General features: G+C 41.0%; 1 protein-coding gene across 20 annotated transcripts in view, besides 1 other annotated feature; it reads left to right on the top strand.

Moving 5' to 3' along the window:
• Positions 1 to 24263, top strand: part of ERC2 (ELKS/RAB6-interacting/CAST family member 2) — a 960157-nt gene that overhangs the window by 559884 nt on the left and 376010 nt on the right. For all 20 annotated transcript variants that reach the window (NR_132749.2, XM_017006156.2, XM_047447950.1 and 17 more), the window contains one exon: positions 20035 to 20195. Coding sequence is in view for 19 of the 20 variants with exons in the window: in XM_017006156.2 (XP_016861645.1) it covers positions 20035 to 20195 (161 nt within the window). In the remaining variant the exon portion in view is untranslated. The remainder of the gene's footprint in view (positions 1 to 20034; positions 20196 to 24263) is intronic.
• Positions 19634 to 20145: an enhancer, noted in NCBI's record as "NANOG hESC enhancer chr3:55922467-55922978 (GRCh37/hg19 assembly coordinates)". NCBI's record gives its function as "activates a minimal SCP1, AML or CMV promoter by ChIP-STARR-seq in primed H9 embryonic stem cells {active_cell/tissue: H9 hESC(primed)}" and the evidence as "EXISTENCE:reporter gene assay evidence [ECO:0000049][PMID:30033119]".

Raw genomic sequence — 24263 nt, 5'->3', positions numbered from 1 at the left:
CCTTGTCAGCATTCTCGGACTCACCTGCCAGCCCAGCCCACATCTCTCCCTGGAAGGCTTCTCCCTCTGAGCATCGCTCCCTGACTCTTCCTTTCCTCCTCTGTTCACTCTCAGTCCCCTGGAGCAGAATTCTGCTTTCTGAACATTTCCTGGCCTTTCCTGCCTCCCTGTCCCAGCCCATACTCTTTCCTTGCTAGAATGCTCTTTCCACCAACCCTGCTTGACAAAACTCTAGTCATCCTTTAAAATAAGGCCTCAAAACTGATCATTCATGATCCAGATGTGGCCTATAATGTGTGTAGTTCAATTCAGGCAGGATATTTTTCTCTTTGATTGAAGCACTAATTAAAAAATAAGATTTTTTTCAGGAAAATTCAGATATGTTTGCTTCTTTTGATAAATCAGGGGATCTGGCCATGTAGAACCTGCATGTTTACATGGTGGAAATTAGCAGCAGCTAAAGGGCATTTCCCTTCCTGGCCAGCATCAGGCCTTGACAATAACTGCTTCGCCCTACCAGCCTTTGAGTTGGTGACCCCTGTCATTTAAACGCTATCACTTCTGGGAAGCCTCCTCTCCCTGTGTGTTGCTTTTCCCAATGTATCGTCCCCTCTTTGTTTTTGCCTCTAACACTCTGCTCCTCCCTGTCTGCCTCTTCTGTAGCAGAGGTGGAATTCTGCCCTGCCTATTGTTGGTTTTAGTAAATAATACTTATCGTTTATCAAGTGCTTACTAAGGGCTAGGCACAGGGCTGAGTGTTTCATGGATATTTTAATCTCCAGTCCTTGCTATGACCCTGAGTGAAGTGTGTTATTATCTCCAATCTACAAATGCAGAAGCCCAGAGAGTGTAAGTGGCTTGCTCAAGGTCACACAGCTGGTAAGTGGCAGAGAAGGGATCTGAGCCTTCATCAGTCCAAACTCAGCGTCTGTGTTTCCTCATGTTTTATACTGATGGATCTCTCCCATCACACTGAAAACTATGGGGTGGGCAGGAATGCCCTTCTGTAGCTCTGTTACATCAAATTACAGAATACACATTATATCAGAGACAAAGACCTCTGATTCATTTTCTCCAGTCAAACAATTAAGCAATAATGCTAATATGGGTCATTACAGCATCTTGGCACTGAGTACGTACCTGATGCTATTCTAGACACTTTATCCTGCAATCTCACATAATCCTCACAAGAGCCCTGTGCAGCAGGGCATGATATCTCCATTTACAGTTAAGGAATCAGAGGCTCAGCAAGGCTAGCTACCTTGGCCAAAGACATACAGGAGCAAGTGGCCGGGATTTGAACTGGGATCTTTCTTAACTCTAAGTCTTGCATTCTTTCTCTACCCAGCATGTTTTTGAACCACTTTACCATATAAAAGCTACTAGCCTACTGATAAATCCGGCAAGCAAAGCCCTCTTGCATGTTTTCTCCCAGCAATACAGGTGACATCACCACTACTTCAGCTACTGGTTCTTTTGCAGACACTTTCTGATTCACCACTGTGTGCTAGGTGTTGGGTGAAGGCCAGGGTGCATACATGACAAGGCAGTATCTGTTTTCAGGAAACCTTACCCTCAAGATGAAGACTGGGAGGCAAGCACCCCTATCATCTGGGCCATCACTACAGAAAAGGCAGGATTCCCATGCCAGTGATATGGCTGCGGCATCATCATACTCAGCCTGATCACCCTCTGATTGAATAGAAATGAGCCAGGGAATCCTTTGCATAAATTGGTTCCTTTCACAGAGACTCCCCCAAACACAGAAACACTCATCAACATGGGGTCTTTTCCAGGATGAATGTTCACAGCCTCTTTGCCTGTAAAGATAAGTCTCCTGCAAAATGGTGCTCACTCTTCCTTTCCCGATTACAGGCAGGCCTACAACATCTGTGTTTGAATGCCCTTTGGAAAGTGGGCAATATTGTGTGAAGCAGTAGTTCTGGAACTTGAACATGCATCAGAATCAGAATCAATCAGAAGGGTTGTTAAAACACATATTGTTGGACCGCATCCTCAGTTTCTGATTCAATAGGTAGAAACATGGGATGGGAGGATGCTGAGAACGTACATTCAAATACATTTCCAGGTGATGCTGCTGCTGCTGGTTGGGGAACCCCCTGCCACTACTTTTTTTTTTTTTTTTTTTTTTGAGACAGAGTCTCGCTCTGTCACCCAGGCTGGAGTGCAGTGGCGCGATCTCGGCTCACTGCAAGCTCCGCCTCCCGGGTTCACGCCATTCTCCTGCCTCAGCCGCCCGAGTAGCTGGGACTACAGGCGCCTGCCACCATGCCCGGCTAATTTTTTGTATTTTTAGTAGAGATGGGGTTTCACCGTGTTAGCCAGGGTGGTCTCGATCTCCTGACCTCGTGAGCCACCGCGCCCGGCCCCCCCTGCCACTACTTTGACAACCACTGGCATAAACATCAGGTATTGTTTTTGCTAATTCTAGTTATGAGTCAGGTGAGTACTTACTAAGTGTCAGCCATGTGCCAGGCCTCAGGATGGGTATTACAAATACAGGAGGAGTAAGTTAGACATGGAGCAAAAAGCCTTGTGAAGGAAATGGGAAGGTACATAGAAGGAAATTCTTAAGTAAAGTCATTTAAAATTGTGACACATGCTATGAGGAAATCCAACTTGGAGCTGAGATGAAGAATACCAGGGACAGGTGGGAGGCAGGCAGCTCCTTTATCTGAAGGGACTCAGAAGGGCCTTTGGGAGGTGGTGACATTTATGCCAAGACCTGACAGTTTAGAAGATGCCTGCTATTTGAAGAGTTTGGGAGAAGGGGCCTGGAAACAAGGCATGGTAAGAAAGAACAGATTCTACAAGGCAAGGGTTGCATGGGATGTAGTTGAGTAGGGGTCTTGACAATACAGGGCCCTTGTCAGCTGCAGGAAGGAGTTGGGGTTTTATTTGCAAGGCAATAGATACTATACCGCCTCTTTCAAAATTATATTTTGATTTTGGAAGTCAATGCTTATAGGTGTGAAAATTCCTTAGTCTGCTCTGTTGTAGGGTTTTGGCTTCCTCCACCTATACAAATGGTGACTTCCCCTCGGAGTTACTGTTAAGTGGAAGAGCGTGTGCTAGGGCCTATGGAGGGAGGGGGCGGGAGGGATGCTGCACACACACACGACCACCACCACCACCACCACCACTACTCCAAACTGTGAGGTCCACAAAAAAAGTAAAAAGAAGAATGTGCGTGGTGGCTCACGCCTGTAATCCCAGCACTTTGGGAGGCTGAGGCAGGTGGATTGCTTGAGGTCAGGAGTTCGAGACCAACCTGACTAACATGGTGAAACCCCATCTCTACTAAAAATACAAAAATTAGCTGGGCGTGATGGTGCATGCCTGTGGTCCTAGCTACTCAGGAGGCTGAGGCAGGAGAATTGCTTGAACCCGGGAGGCAGAGGTTGCAGTGAGCCGAGATTGAGCCACTGCACTGCAGCTTGGGCAACAGAGTGAGACTCTGTCTCAAAAAGAAGAACGTGAAACACATCAAGACATAGGCAACAAGCTTGGTGATTTGTCTCCTTTTTTGTTCATATTTGGAAACGGGAGCTGCTTTTGTTAGACTAGAGAAGTTGCATCTGGGGAGAAAATGCTCTTCCCATGCTCACCTTTGGCTTTTAAAAGGTCAGCTCTGTTGCCAAACACTGTAAGTTAAACCTTAGCAGGAATGACCGTGAAAACGGGCTGAGTCACACATTGAAATGGCAATGTGGATTATTAACTGTCATGCTTTTCTTTCTGTCTAAATTGAAGGAGAAGATGCCACGAGGCCAGCTGGCTCTGTCCACACCTCGGTGGTCTAGGGTGTTGAGGAGTTCACATGGCCATCTTGTTCAGAAATGTGTTTCCCCCCAGACGCTTTCTTTCTTCACTGAAGAGTAGAGTGAGTTATACTTTATTAGACTCATCCAGATGAGAACATGTTCATGATGGTTTCTGCAGCATTAGGAATTCCTGCTTTTTTTGGTTGGGTCTGCTAGAGTTGTAAAAGGAAGCTTTCTGGACATTAAGTTTGTAGCAAAAAGGGGTAGAATGAGGTTGGCAAGGGAAGAAACAATTTTGATGTAATAAAAATAGGATTGTTCAAAGCTGAGATGAGGGCTCTTCTTACTATTTGGTATTCAGATGAAATTTAGTTTGGAAGTCACATCAGCGAATATTATATTTCTTCAGAACCTCTGCTGTATTTTCGATCAGGGGGCATCTTGATTTTGCTTTACTTGTGCAGCAATCAGAAAAGCCATAGATGGTTTCAACTTGTGTGTGTGTGTTTATTCTATTTTTACCTATGGTACTCTGGCCATTAAAATATGATCTGTATCCATTTTGGAACTTTAAAGAAATGATTTTGGATGAGGGCAAAAATGTTGTGCCACCTATTCCACACAGTTCCTTTCTTGTCAGTGCTCACTTGCACTGGCACTTAATTTGTTGCTGTACATGAGAACATTTCTCCATCACCTCTGAAAATGTCTCATAGGCAAGGCTTTTAGAACCTGAATTTTTAAACACGAAACAGGATTATGGATTAATCTCAGGCAAGAAAGTCCCCGAGGGCTATGTAACCTAACAAATAAGCCTCTGCTCTTGGCAAGTCCCTTCCTGGGCTGCCCTCTGTTCCTGCTGTTGACCTACTGGGCAAAAGAGTGGATGTGTGTGTGAGTCTAGGCATGACTTCTCTAAAGATCAACATTTGTACACACTGGAGTCACCTTTTATACATAGTGCTACTGACATTAACCAGAGGAGTGGGCCTGACAGCCCTGGCCTCCATGCCAGTGAGAAAGTGGCCTGGCTGTGCGTACACAGTTATCTGAAGGGATTCAGCACAAAATTACACAGCCTAATTGTTTTTAGTCCAAAAGGAACTATTGCCCAGATAGAGGTGCCTTTAAGGTTTCTGAATGTGACCCATCAAAATGGGGTATTCATTTCGATATATGTATAATTATTACTTATTTTAAATAATGAGGCTGTTTTTCCTCTTGAACTCTGGGTATCATGGTTTTATTATAGCTATATATTCTTGAAGAAATGAGAGGAAAAATAAGGAGAAATATTTTTAAACAAAGCAATTTAAATATTTCAGAAGCTGTACAAGAAAGAAAAAGTCCCAGCTGAAGCAATCAGATCCTTGAGTGAACATTTGGCATTTAAAAAGCAAGGAATCCAATGTTTTCACTTTTATTTGTCTTGAGACTATTTGATACCAGAGTTACATTTGATGCAGAGTTATGTTTAATCACTTTATAGGAGACTAGACTATAATCTCATATTGGTAATGAAAATGGTGAATTTTTTTTAATCAGAGAAGAGCTACTAGGGAAAATCATTTATTTTGAAAATATAGTTTAAAGACATACATCGTAGAAAATGTGTCTTTTGGGGAAAACATAGATGTCTATTTCCAAAGCATGATACAGGTATTTGGTGAAGCTTGGAGTTTAATAGGTGAATATAAATGGTACAATCTGGCAGATAGCTTTTCATCCCAGTTGTGAAAGTGTCACATGTTAAGATGTGAGTATGTTTTGTTTCTGCCCAGATGAACAGTGAATGTTTCCATGAATCAAGATAATCCAGAAAGACAAAAGTTGCTGATTTTAAGCATGAAAATTATGCACATCAGGATGTGTACTTTGGTTGTTTTTATAGGAGTGGGCTGAATTTGACCTTTGCCATCCGCCCACTCTCCGCCAGGCTCCCTTGGGATAAATCACAGCCCCTGGCAGGGGCTAGGGGATAATCTCTGGTGTGGAGCCAGGTGAGAAGCAGAGTAACTGGTCCTAGGAGCCCAGTGTCAAAACCCCACTCTCATTAGTTCAGCTGGATGGCCAGAAAGCAGTCTCCTTCCCTGGGGTACAAAGAGGATGCTGAGCAGCACGCTGATGACTGGAAGAGAGGCAAGGTTTAGCGGATCTACTCTTGTGATTGTGTGAATACTTATTCCATTTGGAGATGGAAGGAAAGCATAGGAACCCTCTATTTAGCTTTAAAATGCAGCTAAGTTCTGTCGGTCAGCCTTGCTCATGTGGTGCCTCTCATACTCCTTACCAGCCGCTTTGTACGTGGGGAGAACTGACTGTTTGGGTGGGCGTCTTTGTTCTGAGTTTTCCCTGTATGAAGTGATTTTTCCCAAGGTTAACCAATTAAGAACTTTTTCCATGTCGCAGTAATCGCCGAGAGGAGGGAGCCAAGTCACTGTGGGGGATGCTGTGCCCTAGGGACGCATTTGGGAGGATTTCCTTCTCCTGAAGCAATAGGGTCAACATAAAGCCCCTATAAAATGTTTTAAATAAAGGAGAAATTGAAGCGGAAGACTTCATTCTGGCACGTTATGTCTGGTTTTTGCTTTCCTCCCACTGAGGAGCTAACCAAGCCAGCAGTCTGGAGGATATATTTAGTTGGAGGATGATGAAGCTTTACTGTGATTTTTTTACTTACCTGAATTATAATAATAAGGAAACCGGTACCTGCTGGTGGTATCTATGGGTTAGCATAAGATGCACTGGTAGCTATTGCTGAACATGACACTTAAAATGCATGTGTCTGTGTTTGTGTGTGATGGTTTGTTTTATAAAAAGGGAACACAATTATGACATTTTTATCACATGACTCTTAAGAAAGTCAATTTCATATCCTGATTCAGTCGGTATCAAGTCACTGATTCGAATGTTGCTTCACCTAGTGTGTAGTCATCCTTGGGACTAGATGGCATTTACAACATGAAAATTATCTGCTGAAGTCTTCAAAGCTATGATATTTTGTGGAGGGATTCTTCCTTCAGAGTATGGGAATGGCCTCATCGATCTTATGGATAGTGACTGTGGAAGTGATGGGATGTCACTCACGTGATTAAGCATGTTATTTGGCACAGTTGACTTTAAGAAAGGGACATTATCTTTGGTGGGCCTGACTTAATTAATCCTTAAGGTGAGCCCTTAAATGGGACTGGGCTTTTACAGAAGAAGGAGAGTTAAAGCATGAGATGGATTTGATGTGAGGGAGATTCTCCATTTGCTGGCTTTAAAGATTTGAGGGGACTGTGCGGCAAAGAATACAGGTGGCTTCAATGAGCTGGACATGACAAGGTGACCTCAGACCCACATCTGCAAGGAATTGAATAATCTTTCAACTCCATGAGCTTGGAAGAGGACCCTGAGCTGCTCCAGATGAGAAAGCAGCCTGCCAATATCTTGATAGCAACCTTATGAGACTCTAAGTGGAGACCCCAGTCACACCTTGCCTAGACTTCTGACCTGTAGAACTATAAGCAGCCAAGTTTACTATAATTTATTGTACAATAATGGAAAACTGAAATAGAATACAAAAATCAACTAAGGCATTTTGGAACAGTGCTGGGATCAAAACAGATAATGACTATTCTACTCCAGTGAAACAAAAGAGACCCAAGATCCATCACTAATTTATGTTCATCCACGCATTTGTTGGTGCTGACTATGTGATAGAAAATGAGCCAGGGATTTTCTTGCTCTTGAGGGTCTTGTGGTCCTGGGTTTCCTCCCAGAGCCTCTCAGTAGAGTCCCCTCTAACACTTCTTCCATTATATTTGTATTCAACAATCAGTCTTACATCCTGGTAAAAAGTAAACCACTTGAAAATCCTTTACCCTTTCTGAGCTTAAGTTATCCATCATTTAAATGGTCTGCTTCTTTGGGAATATGTGAGAATCAAATAGGATATTATCTAAATCACCAGTAATGATTACCTTTCTACAGTATGGCTCCTTTTCTTCTTTTCTCCCTTCCAACCTCCCTCCCACATCTGTTGACTATCTACTGTGTGTTTGAGAAGAGGCTGTGCCAGGTGGAGGATGCAAGGGTGCTTTGGACTCTGTGTGCTTAAAAGAGCAAGGTGACATATAGGGAAGCCACTCCCTATTGTTCAAGGTAGATCTTGTGATGCAAGGATCCTGAGGTATCAGGCTTGGAGTCAGGCTTGATTTGAGCTGATAGAAATTTGTCATCATCAATAGGTGTCTCTTCCAGAGCCAAGTCAGTAGGGGAACTCAAAGTAAAGGAAACCCATTTTCTTCTCCTTCCTTGGAATTGTCCCAGCACTGATCCTTGCATTATAAGAAAGTGGGTTTGTTTGAGAACACCACCCTGATTTGTTGAATGGGAATGAACAGACTCTGCTAATGGAGGTGGCCAAGTAGCCTGGACAAATGGTTTTGATTTTCTAGGGCCTCACAGCTTATTTTGAGTGCTGAAGAAACAAAATTATAATAACAAAATCGGACAATACTAAACAAAGCACCAAACAAAATAAGAAAGAAAATGAACATATTGGACTTCCAAAACCCATAGGAACTTTATTAGAGAACAAAGTGAAATGAGTAAAGTGCATTGTGGGGCAGGGTGGAGGCGGCAGGAATTACTGTTGACAGCTCTAGAGTCACCAACAATTGGGCTCTCCCCACCGGATTATAACCAGTATAATCTAAGGGACTCTCAGAACCAAAGTACCCCTGCCTTAAAGAGTAGCCCATCTTAAGGTCATTTTGGCTAAAGTTAGCTGCCATTGTAACTGCCGCCAGAGGGCCCCATCTTTTTCTGGAGGACTGCTTCATACCTGTCCTTTAGAGGCTATGTTTACCTGCAACTGCTTTTTCCATGGGATCAGAAATATTTCCTAGGCAGATCTTTCTTAGTTGAAATTGGTTTAATTACTCTTTTTGTAAACATTTGTAATACATATTTTTATCAATAAGTACAAAGAAATATATAATAGAGTATGTGAAATCCCTAAACCTAGAAACAAACCCATCATGAATATTTTGATACATTTCCCTCTAGTCTTTTCTCCTACGAATATGCAAAAAAATCCCAACACATAGTTGAGATTGTATTGTATCTACCATTTACCACCTGCTTTCCTCACTTAAGATTTCATGAGCATCTTTCCTTTACGTTAAATCTTTTTGCTTAGTGTTTAATATCTGACGAACATCTCAACAATTGGGTGCCCATAATTTATTATTTAATTTCTTTGTAACACTTTTAAATCACACACACACTCTCTCTCTCACACACACACACTCACACACGTATTCCATAATTTTTGTAACTAATTTTTTTGAAGATTGTATACATATATGTTTGTGTATGTATGTATTGTGTATATGTATGTAAATATATCCATACACATACAAACTTTTATTCTGATTTTTATAAATAACATTGTGATGAATATGCTTATTATATCCTTAGAGTAAATTCGTCTGGGAAAATCCCTTATTATATATCCTTAGAATAAATCCAGAAAGTAGAATCATCAGATCAAATAGTAATTCATTAGTTATACTGAATTTAAAAGAATTGAAATGTTTGTTTCCCGTGACCAAAAAAGGTAAATGTTCCACAAAGACCGAAATAATTTCTGAACATCACCATTGGACAACAAAGTTGTGAAAATGGTATGTTCTCATATTGTTCTTTCTAATGCAGTAGCCAATAGACCTGTGACTATTTACATTTAAATTTTAATTAATGTTAAATTAAGTTAAGAATTCATTTCCTGGTTTGCACCAGACACATTGGAAGTGCCGCATGTAGTTAGTGGCATACATATTGGGCAGAAAAAGTTACAACGTTGCCAGCATTGCAGGAAGATCTACTGTGCGATGCTTCTCTATTTTCTTCTCCAGTTCCTTCATCTTTATGTTTGGAATTTAGCCTAAGTAAGATTAAAATATGAACAATGCATATTTTGTGTATGATTAATTTGGTTTGTTACAAAGCGGGTTTCTTGGTGAAAATTTTCACCTTTCCACTGAAGATGAAAAATGTGATGCATCTTTTGGAAAATGTAAAAAAAAAATGGAAATCCAACCCTTTGTCTTGCTTATGCATCCTCTTATAGGCTGAAAATGAAGTACTAGTGTTTAAGCTAATACCACTGTTGATGACAATCTCGGGTGGTTGCATGCTTACTGTGTGCCAAGCATGTTGCTGTTGTACTGCCCGTATTCCTCACAAGGTCTCCGGAAGGTGCAGTTATTATTTACATTTTGTAGAAGAGGAAGCTGACGTACATAGAGGTCAAGCTCCTTTCCTAAAATCACACCGTCAGCATGTAGCTGGGGCCTGATGGGGACCTAGGCTTTCTGACTTCAGAGTCCACATCCTTTACTATCCCTATACTGCTTCTCAAGAATGTCCCAGGCTGTTAGAGAGAAGGCCATCTCTTTGCCACACTGCAGAACTGTGACACACGTGTAATAAAGCCTCCCAGCTGCTCGAGATATACCCCTACACCACATACCCAGAAGCACACCCCCACAGCCTTTTTCTTGAGGAACTTCCACTGAGCCCAATCCCATCTGGAATGAAGAGTGCTCAAGGGCATTTTGGAGAAAGTGTCATTCATTTGTACTCTGACACTTTCTCATTTAACAGACTCTGTTAAGTCAGATGTATGTATTTTTGCACATTTCCTCTCTATCCTTCTTTTATTATGGTGTGAAGTTTTGTTAATAGGCCTGAGAAGAGAAGAGGAAAGGGAGAATGTGAAACGTTGTCAAAATCAAAGAGTTGGAGCCCAAACAAATGTTCTTAATGTGGGCATTTGTTTGCAGGAGAAGGATCAGAGGCAACCAATGTAAGCAAAGCTCCTTGATGCTTAAACTTCAATGAGGAGAAAACAAATCACAAACACAGTCTTAGGGATGGTCAGGTCCAGGCTGAAAGCAGTCTGGGGATTTTCAGTTTCAACCTTTTCCAAAAGGTGTCACTCTAAGGCAGCAGTGGGGAGGTGGGAAGGAGGAAGAGATAGAAATGTCAGATAAGGGTAATTGGAAAAATAAGATTAGTAGTCCTTGTTTTAACAGGTCCTTCAGCCTCCAGCATCACTGTCGGAGGAGTTGCTGCTGCTGACGGGGGGTTTAAGCGTTTATCTTCACCTTCTGATCTCAGGGTGACCTTCTGTGTCCAGAGTTGTGCTGGGCCAAGTCCAGCTATTCCCACAGGACCAATTCACATTCCAGATTTGCTGCAACCTGGGATATGGGGATTTCATTGGTTCTGTGTTCTGGTGCAAACTGAAAACTGCCATCCTCTTGCACTCAGGATGGAATGAAGACAGGAAACCAGGATGGATGGCGGAGCCTAACTCAGAAGAGCCTGTCTGTTTTTGAAATATGGCTTTAAAAATTCCAAATCATTAACAGAAAATACACACCAACTCCATGCTGACATATAATTTAAGGGAAAAAATAGCTTTATCAAAATATTTGAGTATCAGCTCTTGCCAAGCAAGCCTCTTGAAAAGCATGGGAAGCTGCCACGCGTCAGGAAGAGATGCATGGAACCTGGAGTGGGGTCCTGGCAGATAACTGAGAGAGAGGCTGGTTTTCAAATATTTAGTTAAACAACACAAATGTATGTGTAAGTTTAAGTCGACACATGTTAATGATTTAAGGTCTTAAACGGGTTTTTTATTTTATTGTTTTAAGGCTCCACTGTTCACTTTAAAAGATCCGACGATTTCTCCAGAGCCATGCGTAAACACTGGACTTTTTAGAAAGCCAGGTGATGACTTCATTATTCTGAAAGTGAACAGTTATGAATTATTCAGATACAGTAAATACAGTTGAATATTTCCTGGTAACAACTATTTTAAAAGAGAGTTTTAATGATATGATCTGCAACATAGAATGACTAATACAATCAGAAATAGCACACAATTATTCAGGGTTTTTTCTTTTTTTGTAATTGATTAAGCTAAATCAACATCTAGCTTGAAGAAACCTTTAATTATTATGTTCTAGATATGTAACACCAAGCCAATGTATTTTAAAAATGTAATCTTTGATATAAAATCAGAATTCCAGTCTTGCCACATTTGAGGACCTTTTAGGAAATTATTTTAAGTGAAACATCTGGAATATTCTAGAGACTTCTGAGGTGGCTGTGAATCCTGTTTTCACTGAAAATGACATTTTAGCAATTAAACACCTTTTCTAAAACTTTTTTCCCCAGGAAATATTATTGTCTGGTGAATTACTAATAGATGTACTTCTAAAAGAAGCACATGCTGTGTTAAATAGAGACAAATGGGTTGCTTTCTTGCTGGACTGTCAAAAGCTTTTATTGTCTCTTAATTACTGTGATTCTCCAACTAGCATTTTTCTAAAGAATGGGACCACAGGGCATCTTCCAGCTGGGCCACCACCTGCGCTTCCCCAGGCTACTCCACTTGCTTGCCTTAGGGAGGCCAGCCACAGTGCCTAGTGCAGGATGGGCTGCTGTTTTACTCTTTTGCACCACCCAGTACTTTTCTTTAAAATCACTATTGTGATTAAGTAATTTGTTGATTCCCAACTTCCCTGTGGAAACCCTTCTGAAGACAGACCTGTGGCTAGTGTCCAGCAGAGTGCCTGGCATGTGGGAGATGCCTAGCGAGGTGGTGGAATGAAGGAAAGGAGTGTGTATCTCCCAGGTCCCAGGACAGAGCATGTGGAATGCATAGCAGGACCAAAAGCCACATGCTTCTATACCAGCGCAGAACCTGAGACATCTTTATTGTGTCTCTGTGAAACTCACAGGTTCCTGGGTTCTCCAGGCGGCTGCTGGGGTGGCAGCGAACATAGGGCCTCCATCCTTTCAGGAGCCAAGTAACTGAGCCCCCTCATCCCCATAGCAAAGAGAAGGTGCTTGAAGCAAACAGAGAGCAAGAACTTGAAGGGTATTTGTTGAGGATGGCGAAGGGACCACTGATTTATGGGGTAGGAAAGTATCAAGTTTGGACTTACACTTCATCCATCATTGCACTAAGTGGGTCAAAGGAGGGTGTTTCAGAATCACGTCTTTGTGCTCCCCTTCCTCCCATTGCATAGGTATTTATTGAGTGTGGATACTGGTGCTATGTCAGGTACTGAAGGGGCTTGCAAAGAAGATGGAGACACAGTCTCTGCCCTCCAGGGATTACAGTCCAGTTGTATTATAGCAACTAAGCATACATATTGTGCAGAATGGGTGCAGGCAATGAAAACTGAAGGCAGTTGGGTTGGGTGAAAGTAGTGAGGCTAGGAATGGGCATGTGCTGGTGCCTTCCAGGGTATTAGGCAGGGTACTTTCCATGCATTATTTCACTTTACGCTTATGTCAATTCTGTGTGGCTGCTTCTGCTTCCTCTCCACTTTAAAGGGGAGGATCTGTAGGCTTAGAGAGGTCAGTAACGTCTAGGGTTCCAAGACTTGGCTGCATTTTGGAATCACCTGGATCTTTAATAAAATACAGATGCCTGGCTCCCGCCCTCAAATATTTTGATTTAATTAGGAGCAGTGTGACCACGGCATCAACATTTTTAAAAGCTTCCCAAGGGATTCTAACATGCAGTAACCTAACCAATCTTAAACCAAGTTTGGGAAACATTGGGTTAAGATTGGCCTAAGGTCAAAGATCTTGTAGGTGGAACCCAAACTTGACTCATATCTGACTGCTTCTAGAGCTCCAGCTTTTGATCGCTGCAAGCTGTGAAGGAGGTCAGGTGTAGACAGGGCCTTAAAGAATGGGCAGTTTTGATAAGCAGAGGAGTGAATGTAGGGCAGTCCAGGGGTATATGTGCATGTGTATGTGTGGTTGAGCATTGGTGAATGGAGCAATATGCAGACATAGATAGGCTGAATAATTACTAGGCACTGTATTAGAAAGAGTTGATACTTCTGTGGCACTACTGAGTACTAGGCATTGTGCTGAGAGCATTGCCCATGTGAACCCATTTAATCATCATAAAAACCCTTTGAGCTAAGTTATGTCATTAGCTCCACTTCACAAGAGGTACTTGAAGCTCAGAATTTTGTAATTCATTGTTCAGCTGCCACGTACATGTGAGAACATGTGATACTTGATTTTCTCCTTCTGAGTTAGTTCGTGTAGGATAATGGCCTCCAGCTCCATCCATGTTGCTGCAAAGGACATGATTTCCTTCTTTTTTTATAAAGTAGGGAGGGAAGAAGGGGGATGAAGTTTGAAGAAGTACCTGTTGGGTATAATGTTCAATATTTGGGTGATGGGTACACGTAGAAGCCCAATTCCCACATGCAACGTACCTATGTAACAAACATGCATATGTAGCCCCTAAAGCTAACATTTTTTAAAAAAGTCAATTCTATTATTATATTGTCCCCAAATAATCCTTCTTCTGGGCATTTTAATATAATTTGAGTAAAAATTACCATAACCTAATTTTTGCATAGCAATGGTAATGCTTAATACATGTTTAAAGCAAATTTTGCCTCCAAGTTTAAGTTGAGAAACCTAGAAAATTTTGTCTAGGTTCTTTCATGAAGGTAAACAGTCCAGTTTATTTCTATAACTTTGTAATAGTGCTTATTGAATATTATTTATTAAATGTAAATACTATTTTATTTTTCTTACATGAAATCAATTTTTCCACCTGGGAAAAAAGTTATAATTCACTTAGAGTGAATTTATACATCTAGTAAGTGGCAGTCTAGCTCCTGAATTATGTTTCTAAGCCACTACGCTGCTCCGCCTCTTGTGTTAAGAATATACTAAGTGTTTTCATATTTGCCAGGCTCAGCACTAAGAGCTCTGCAATCATTGCTTCATATAATACTATAAGTACTATTGTTACAGATGATCAGGCAAAACCATGTCCTCACTTAGGGGTAAGAGTAGAGTCAGAGGCTAGGGATACACACATGAGCATATGCACACACATGTGAAAGCCCACATATACATACATATGTGTATGCATGCATAATTATGTTCTACCTTATTATACATGTGGGAGGGGTGTCAAAAGTAATGATAGAAGGGAATGATGGATCCAAGAAATATTTCCAAAATAGAGCTCTAGGAGTTGGTGATGAATGGAAAATAAAAGAGGAAAGAGAAGATCAATGTGGCTCTGAGGTCTTAAACAGGAATGACTGAGAAAAGGTCAGGGCCTTGGACCAAAATGGTGGATGTGTTAGGGAGTGGCAAGTTGGGAGGGTGAGGACAGGTGATAGGAGTTTGGTTTAGGCAGGTGTACACGGGTCAAGAGTTGGCTTTTGGTCATCCTCAATTTAAAGTAATATTAGGACATCCAGATGGAAGTGATCAACAGGTGGTTAGGTACATGTGAAAGAGGTCAAGTGAGGAAAAAGGAGATAAAGTTTGGAGAGACATCTACATAGAGGTGAGAACTGTAGAGACAGACCTCAATGCATCCCCTGTATTTCTATGTGGATGGTGGAAATGCCTCTAGGATGGAGTCACAAGGAGAAAGACCCAGTTATGGGCTGCAGGAAGATGAGTAATTTGCAAAATAAACAGGGGAATAAGTTCCTAAGTGTCGTAGTCCATTTGGGCTGCTCTAACAAAATACCATACAGTAGGTGGCTTATACATAACAGAAATGTATTTCTCACATTCTGGAGGCTGGGAAGTCTAAGACCAAGGTGCCAGCATGGTCAGATTCTGGTGAGGGCCCTCTCCTGGGTTGCAAACTGCTGACGTCTTGCCGTGTCCCTACATGGTGAAAGGGGACATACAGACTCCATTGGGCTTCTTTCATAAGGTCACTAATCCCATATAGGAGGCCTCTGCGCCCATGACCTAATCATTTCCCAAAGGTCTCACCCCTTAATGCCATCATCTTGGGGGTTAAGATTTCAACATATGAATTGTGGGGGTACGTAAACATTGAGACCATAACACTAAGAGAAGCATCAGTTTTAGGAAGATGAGGAGTGGATAGAGCACTGCTCATATATTAAAACTGTATTTCCAAAAGACAATTTAATTACAAAAGAAAATTCTCATCATATATCAATTATATACACAATTATGTATATATTTATATGTAGCATCTCAATTATATGTGCATAAATATAGAGAGAAATTATAACAATGTTTATAATGTTTACTTCTAGGTGGTGGGACTTGGGAGGATCTTAACTAAAAATGATGTTAGTATTTAATCTTCAGAAGAAAGCTAAAACATTTTCATACCTGGATTTTTCATATTTTTTACAATGAATATACTTTATTCTTTTTCTTTTCTTTGAGACAGGGTCTCACTCTGTCACCCAGCCTGGAGTGCAGTGGCATAATCACAGCTCATTACAGTTTTGGCTTCCCAGGCTCAGGTGATCTCCTTGCCTCAGCCCCCCAGGGTAGCTGGGACTCTAGGTGCGTGTCACCACGCCTGGCTACATTTCTTTTCTACTTTTTGTAGGGATGCAGTTTTGCCATGTTGCCCAGCCTGGTCTCAAACTCCTGGGGTCACCATTTGTGATCAAATGATCCACTGGCCCTGGCCTCCCAAAGTGTTGGGATTATAGGTGTGAGCCACTGTCCCTGGCCACACTTTATTCTTATTATCAGAAAAAAATTAATTTCTTGATATCAGAAGAAGAAGAATAAATGCCTTATGGGCTACATCATCTCACTTAATGTGCCCATAATCATCTGATAAGCAAGCAATAGGGTTCCCTATTTACCTGTTGAGGTAAATATGGATGAGGAAATGGAAGCTGAGAAAGATGAAGGAGCTCATCTCACTCACACCGTAATAATGCCATGGTTCCAATCTGGTGATGAAGACACAAACTACATATGTACAGTCAATCAGTTAAAATGTTATTTCAAAGAAGGGACAGAGACTTGGGGGCATGTTTAGCTGTGCAAACCACACATTAAGAAAAGACATTTGGCAAGAAGGGAGTTACTTGTGGTCTGCAAGAGTAGAAATACCATGGGACCGCAAGAATAACAAGCACTTTCCTCTGGTTGAGAGATGACTGTGATGGGGAGATGGAGGCAAGCATAGAGCACTTGATAAGAATCAGACAGTTGGCTCATGCCTGTAATCCCAGCACTTTGGGAGGCCAAGGCGGGTGGATCATGAGGTCAGGAGACTCAGACCATCCTGGCCAACATGGTGAAACCCCGTCTCTACTAAAAATACAAAAATTAGCTGGGCGTGGTGGCATGCATCTATAATCCCAGCTACTCAGGAGGCTGAGGCAGGAGAATCACTTGAACCCGGGAGGCAGAGATTGCAGTGAGCCAAGATCACGCCACTGCACTTTAGCCTGGTGACAGAGCGAGACTCCAGCTCAAAAAAAAAAAAAAAAAAAAAAAAAAAATAGAACCAGACAGTTCACCAGTGAAGATAGGCCAGGTTATGCTGGGAGTTACCACCCCCAATCTCAGAGGCAAAGCACAACAAAGGTTTATATTTTGCCTATGTGATGTGGGTTTGCCCTGGGCTTCATTGTGGTCACTCAGGGACTCAGGCTGAAGATGATGTCATCTGAAACTTGCTTCCACGGTCACCAGGGCAGGGAAAGGGTAACACTGGAGTTGAATGCTACCACTTAAATGTTTCTACCTGGAAATGACAGTGGTTTTAATTGGCCAAAGCCACACCCAATTCAAAGGGTGAGGGGATGTGGGGTCCTACCATGTGCCTGTAAGGAAGAGAACTAGAATATTGTGAAACCACCCTAATGATCACCCCAGCAGGGGAGATATTTTTTGCTTTCTAAGGCCCTTGTTTTGGCAGCAAAGGAAACAGTTTTCAGTTCTCTAGAATGTTAAACACAGGAAGAACCCATGGCCATCATCTAGGAAACTGAGATTCCGAGGGTATAGTGATTGTTTGCAAAAAGTTACAGAGAGAAGCAGTGGTCATGCTAAAACTAGAAGGATGTGTTCTGAGGCCAGTGCCCCACATGGTCCTCGGTCCAGGGCCACACAAATTAGGAAGAGTGAGGAGCTTGGCCTGGGAACTTATTTTAAAACTCTGTCTCCAAGATGTTGAGAGGAGCAGTTTCGTCTCATCTGATACTAGCAGTTACTGATGTTGGAGGCCAGTGGCTTCTCCATCAGTTACAACTCTGTATTGTGTCTCCCAGGTGCCCAGTTTCTCCATGTGCTTCTTGCTGAAATGGCTGGAGCAGCCTGAAATCATTACTCTAAAGTGTCATTTAAAGTTGGGTTAATGTAGAACTAGCTAGTGTTTGCCCTAAGCGGTCCAGTGGCAGGTGATCTAAGATTTGGAAACCCAGCTGAGTAGCTCTGTGTCTATAGATTGCAGATAGATCAGCTTCGATGAATGAGAGAGAGATTGAACAAATGAGAATAATGGAGACCTCCCACTCCTCTGAAATCAATATTATGTTTGAAATAAAGAACGATTTATGACAGAAAAGGAATCATGAGGACACAGACCATCTCATATGGAGGGTCAGGCAGACTATCTGAATTGGCATATGGAATGATCATAATTCTGATTTTTTGGGGGTCACTGCTATTTTCTATCAAAAATAGAAAAAGGGAGGAAAACTCAAAACTCCGCTTTAACTTCGTCACATATTGCTTTGGGCTTCTAGTCATATTTGTGATGTTCTGTGAACTTATATGAGAAACTGAAAAGTTTATTAATACTTTTTAAACTGCATAGATTTGTAAAGTTAAAGAATAATTCAATTTACTCTACAGTTACATAGGGGTGGTTTTGTCACTTTCATAGGTTATTCTTTATATTCCTTGCTTTTTAAACTCTTTTTGGTTTTGGCTTTGATTTAAACTACATGATCATTCAGTTTCCTCTTTTTATCAGGGCAAAATGAAGGGTTTTCTGAATCTTAAAAGCATATAATTTACCTTGGATGTGAACTATAATGCTTATTCTGAATAAATTTCATGTAAAACTGAAGAAATTGTGTAGAAAGTCTTTATGAATTGGAACTTAACATGTCATTGACACATTTTGAAGGGCGTTCTGTTGACTTTAGTGATGGATGAGCCTATTCTGCCAAGTTCAGCTGGAAGGGGTATTTTAGAAAGCCAAACATCAGCTCTGGAATCTAGAAACTTCCTGGAATCATGATTTTGGATCAGCAGGGAGGACACAGCCTGCATCTGTGCAAGGGATGGCATTTCACCAGCTTGCTCCACGGAAGTCTTTGGAACGGAACCATAAACACCAGCCTTCTTTGTTGTGTGTTGGCTTTTAAGAGTCCCCAAAGCTTTGGGGAGGATAAGGCTTTGCCTCAGGGCTCCTGGGTCTCATTTTTTGGGACCTGGCTGAAAACCGTGGATATTTGATAGTCTGGCTTATTTCTATGGTGTATTAGCACCCTATAAAAGTTACATGTCATTTATTTCAAGTTTAGAACCCTCTCAAACTTCAGGGGCAAACCAAACTTGAACCTTTTGTGGCTGGAATTCTGTTTACCTTTGGCCAAACCTTGCTTCCTGAATGTAAAGCTGGGAGGTGAGGTGAGAGGGACTCCTGAGGCTCCCTGGACATTGAATAGCTTTTACCAAACACGGCTTTGATAGGTTAAAACGTGACTGAATCTGAAACACATAGATTAACTTTCTTTCAAAGTACTCTGGGGCCTACACACAAAAGTATATTGTGCTGGGCAAAATGCATTTGAGTGTTGCCTTCCTTCAATGGTGAGAAAGTATCTGAGACTTTTGCCAAACAGAGGTTGAAATTGGGTCAAGCCACTCACCCCCAATTCTAGTGAACACATTAAGTAGTTTTATAAAGGTTATTGGGCAATCCAATTGAACAAGGACCTTGGAGAAATTTGGACATTTCTTGTGTTTGAAACATTTTTTAAGGGTTTTTGTTCTGTTTTGTTTTAATTTTTTCTTTCCATAGGTTTTGGGGGAACAGGTGATATTTGGTTACATGAGTAAGCTCTTTAGTGGTGATTTGTGAGATTTTGGTGCAACCATCACCCGAGTAGTATACACTCAACCCAATGTGTAGTCTTTTATCCCTCAACCCCCTCCCAGCCTTTCCCCACAACTCCCCAGAGTCCATTATATCATTCTTAGGCATTTGCATTTTCATAGTTTCAATGACAAAGAAAGAAAGGGCTCCAAGACACAGCGGCCCAGTTCAAGGATCCCTGTGATTCCTTTGTGTTTGTTGTTGGAACACAGGCTAACAAGGGATGTCTTGTGCTTGAATGAAGGAGAAATAACACACAGAGCTCCATGTGCCTTTCAGATAGAGGAACTGATGAATGCACTGGAGAAGACCAGACAGGAACTGGATGCCACCAAAGCACGCCTCGCCTCCACACAACAGTCCCTGGCCGAAAAAGAAGCGCACTTGGCCAACCTCCGGATTGAGAGGAGGAAACAGCTGGAGGAGATCCTGGAGATGAAGTGAGTACCCATTGCTGCTTTGGTAGCCTCTCTCTTCTAGCCTCTCTTGAGAGTGGGAAAGGGGAAGGGCTAGAGAAGATGAAGAAAGAGCTCAGAAAAAGAATAATTTAGCTCACACTTGCCTGGTCATTTCTGAAAGTATGTTTCTTATTTTTTAATTGTAACTTTGGTGTCTCAATTTGCACATTTCTCACATCTGTTATTGAAAAAAATATAGATCCAGCACTAGATTTTGGGTGTCTGTGTTGTGTGGATGGTGCTGGGATTCATAGATCTGTTGGAAAGGTCTGAGCCAGCCAAGAGATGGAGGCCCCGTTAAGCACAATGGTAATTTGAGCGCTGCTCAGAGTTAAGTGGAAACTTTTCTGAGGAGTTATTTCCTAATTGTGACTGTAACTTTGCTAATTATATTCTTCTCACTTGTGCACAATGCCTGGTTTGTGTTGACTCTCACAGAGTCTCAAGGTTGGCACCTCTTTGTTCAGAAAGTGAAACTTTGATTTGCTGGGCTTATAAAAATAGGTTAGAAATCCCACACCCCGCCACACCCCACCTAGGTGGGGGCTTGGGAAGCTAAATCAGGGAGATTGGATTGGAACCAATTGCTTCCTTTGATTTAATCAATGACATGGGGCTGAGTGCTGGGAAATGGTTGTTCCTGTGGTCCTGTGACACACCCACCTACACCTCACTCTTGTTTCATTCTCACAATGAAAGAGCATCATCATGGAATAACATAGGAAAGAAAATTACTGAGAAATTTTAATAAATATCAATTGCAATAGGTCTGTTTGTGAAGAACTAGTCAAGAAGGAGCGTCTCTATGTTTTTAAATGAAATCATCACTAAATTATAATTTAAATCTAACTTCCCTCCACAGTAAGGGGAAACATACATAATTACGGCATCTTAAGCCTATAACACAGACTTTGAAATTGGTGGCTAGGTATGGAAGTGACCTTATCGTGACCCAGCAAGCCTTACACATGGTTAGCATTAAACTCAGAAAGCTTAGATCATGGAAAATATTGGAATGAAATATTTTGAAGGATTTAATAATGAGGACAAAACATTTATTCCTCATCAACTACCTCAGTTTCTCCAAGACCAAAGAATAAATAGGGTTTTTTTCACATATAAACTAGCATTTTTTCTAATAAAAGATAATATAATAAAACCAGGTATTATTATACTCAGTTCAGAGGTGAGGGAGCTGAGACTCAGAGAGATTCATAATTTGCTTAAGGCCATCTGGCCATGACAAAACCAGTTTTCTACCTCAACCTCCGTTTCTGCTATCTAATTTTCTCCAGGAGTTTATGTGAACTCATTAAGACTAGAACTTTTGTCTGTTTGAGTCACTGTAGTCATTATGCAGACAAGAGCAGTGCTGGGCACATGGGAGGTGCTCAATGATTGTTTGTTGCCCACAACAGTGTCTTGAATGTGATAGGTGCTCAATGGTTTGTTGAGTGAGTGACTAGATTGAATACTGGAGACTGAATTTTATGTAGCTAAGAAGAAAAGTATTTTAAGTATCTGCGATATTATCACCTTCATCAATAATTTATTAACACTGTTAAAAGGATACATGTTTATAAGCACAGCATATATAAAATCTTGATGTTTGCCAATATTTACTGTTGTTTAAAAGATTAACTTATGTAATTAGTTGTGGAATATGTGTATGAATTTAAATGACACCCAGAAAAATTATAAATGTCAATATATGTGTAAACACTTAGCTGAGAAACACCAAAAATATAGTGTAGTATTAAATAATTGAAGAAACAGCAATATTCAAAGTGGAAAGTCCATTTATGAATGTATTCATGTTAGAATCTAAAGTTATGTATTTTTATAATGTCTATATACAAAGTTCATAAAATGGTTTATTTGAGAAAGTTTCCATCTTGCTGATATTGACCAATAAAATTCATTTCCTAGAAAACAATATGGAATGTTATGATTTATATAAGAATAGAGAAAGATTTTGGAATTGCATATGCTTCCACCTTCATTTTGGATTTGATTTTTGAATGGAGATTAAAAATACTGAAATTCAACTTATAAGTTTGTTTTACCCTTGAAAAATTTATCATATGATGTTTTTTGCATTTTACTTTCCATAATAAATGTAGTATAGAATAAAAATAATTTATCAACAATAGCCAATACTAGTATTAGTGCATTAGCAATATGGGTCCATTGATTCAATCAGCCTGTATTCTTTCCTGTTCACCTGTCTCTCGTCTTCCTCCCTGTGTGTTATGTGTCAAGTCCAGCCTAGTTTTTCTCCTTGTTTTCCAGCTGTTCTCAAGTTAACTCTCCATCTCCTGAAGTGATTTATTATGCTATTATAAAGAAATTTTAATTACTTCCTGTTTATAAAAGGAGCGTATACTTTCAACATTTTGAGAGAACAAGTAATGGTGAAATATGCTGGTTTGTGAGTCATCAGACCCAGGGTGGAATCCTGTTGCTTCCACCTGGTGGCTGTGACTTGGGAGAAATGCCCTTAACCTCACTAACCTTCCAGTTTCCTCCTGTAATGACTTGAATGGGGGTGGTTGTGAGGAGGGGTTCTCAGCAGAGAGTTTGGCACACAGAAAATGATATATGTATGCAAATGGCACTATCAGCCAATGAAAATATGTCCTCTGTTTAGCATACTTTGTGAAGAGTATCATTTATCTAAAATTTGGATTTATTTTTCTAAAACATATAAACTTTTTCCATGTGTATGTTTTCCCACTTAACTTCATGGTTTCAGATAGCACCTAACTAAGACCTCTTTTGGTGAATTGCCACATTATTGCTGAAGTGCTTAATCTGCTGCCACTGCAAAATAAATACAAAATTCCTGTGTTAATTCCTTTGGTGAAAGTAACAAAGCCCTGCTTCATTAAGCCTGATATGGGCCCTATTCACTATTTAACTGGCCTAGAAGCCCAACCTGTGGGCTTCTGCCCTGGGACTATGGGAGGACTTAGGTACAGGGCAAGTATATTGACTGAGATCCTCAACTAGAGGCACCAGCCTCTTGGGCTGTTCAAGTTTGCCACTGGTTTGTTCAGTCACAGTGTTTAAGCTGAATTGACACACTGGTTACTTGACTTTGATTGAGTCCACATAAGTTCGTGGGAACAGTCAGATGGGTATTATCATTGTTGGTGAGTTGATATCATCTGTGCCAAGCATTGTTGGTTTTTCATTCAACCAGCACCCATTATCTTTAGACAGGCATCTTTAGGTCAGGTCTACCCAGTTTCCAAACCCTGGTGGGAAGGGAGAGGCTGTGTGATGTTAGAGGGAAGAGGGGTGAGGCCGTGAGTCAAGAGAAAGAAACTGTGATTTCATAACTAATTTCTGTCTCACCCCATAACATTAAACATCACTCTCTGGTTGCCTCAGTTTTCTCTTCAGTAAAATGGAGGTGATAATACCTGCCCTGCTTACTCTACAGAACTCTTGTAGGGATAAGATTTTTTTTTTTAAGCAGCAAACTAAAATTAATATAAACCAGCACATGTGAAAGTGCTTTGAAACCTAAAGGGGGCTTTTGAAAGGAGAGGTGGTATCTGTTAAATTCCTTGCAAACCAAATGGCACAGAGTTTTAGAATTGGAAAGCAACTGGGTCCAACCTCTCAGCCTGCAGAAGCCTGTCTCCCATTCACAGGATTACTCATAAGGAATTCACCAGGCCCTGGTGAATACCATTCCCATGGCAGGCCATGGGCTCATAAGGTGGTGGTTCATGTTCCATGGCTCTTACAGGTAGCTCATTTGTCATTATATTGAACTGAAATGTCTTTCCATTTGTCTTGGTTTTTGTTCCAGAGCTATACAGAATTTACCTGAACCCCATCCAAAGATAGATATTTGTTTAGATGTTTGTTAGGTGATATTGTTCATTTTAAGGGAAAAAAAAGAGGCAGTATAAAGAAACAATATGAAAAAAATTATTCATGATCCTAACATGGAGAGAGAGACACTGATGGCATTTTGGTGTATATCTTTGCAAATGCTCCTTATTTTGTAAAGAAAATTGGACTGTACTTGCCTAT

This window comes from Homo sapiens, chromosome 3 (genome assembly GCF_000001405.40).
Source record: "Homo sapiens chromosome 3, GRCh38.p14 Primary Assembly".
NCBI lineage: Eukaryota > Metazoa > Chordata > Mammalia > Primates > Hominidae > Homo > Homo sapiens.
The sequence above is the reverse complement of the archived record's forward strand: the minus strand, read 5'-3'. Positions and strand labels throughout refer to the sequence as shown.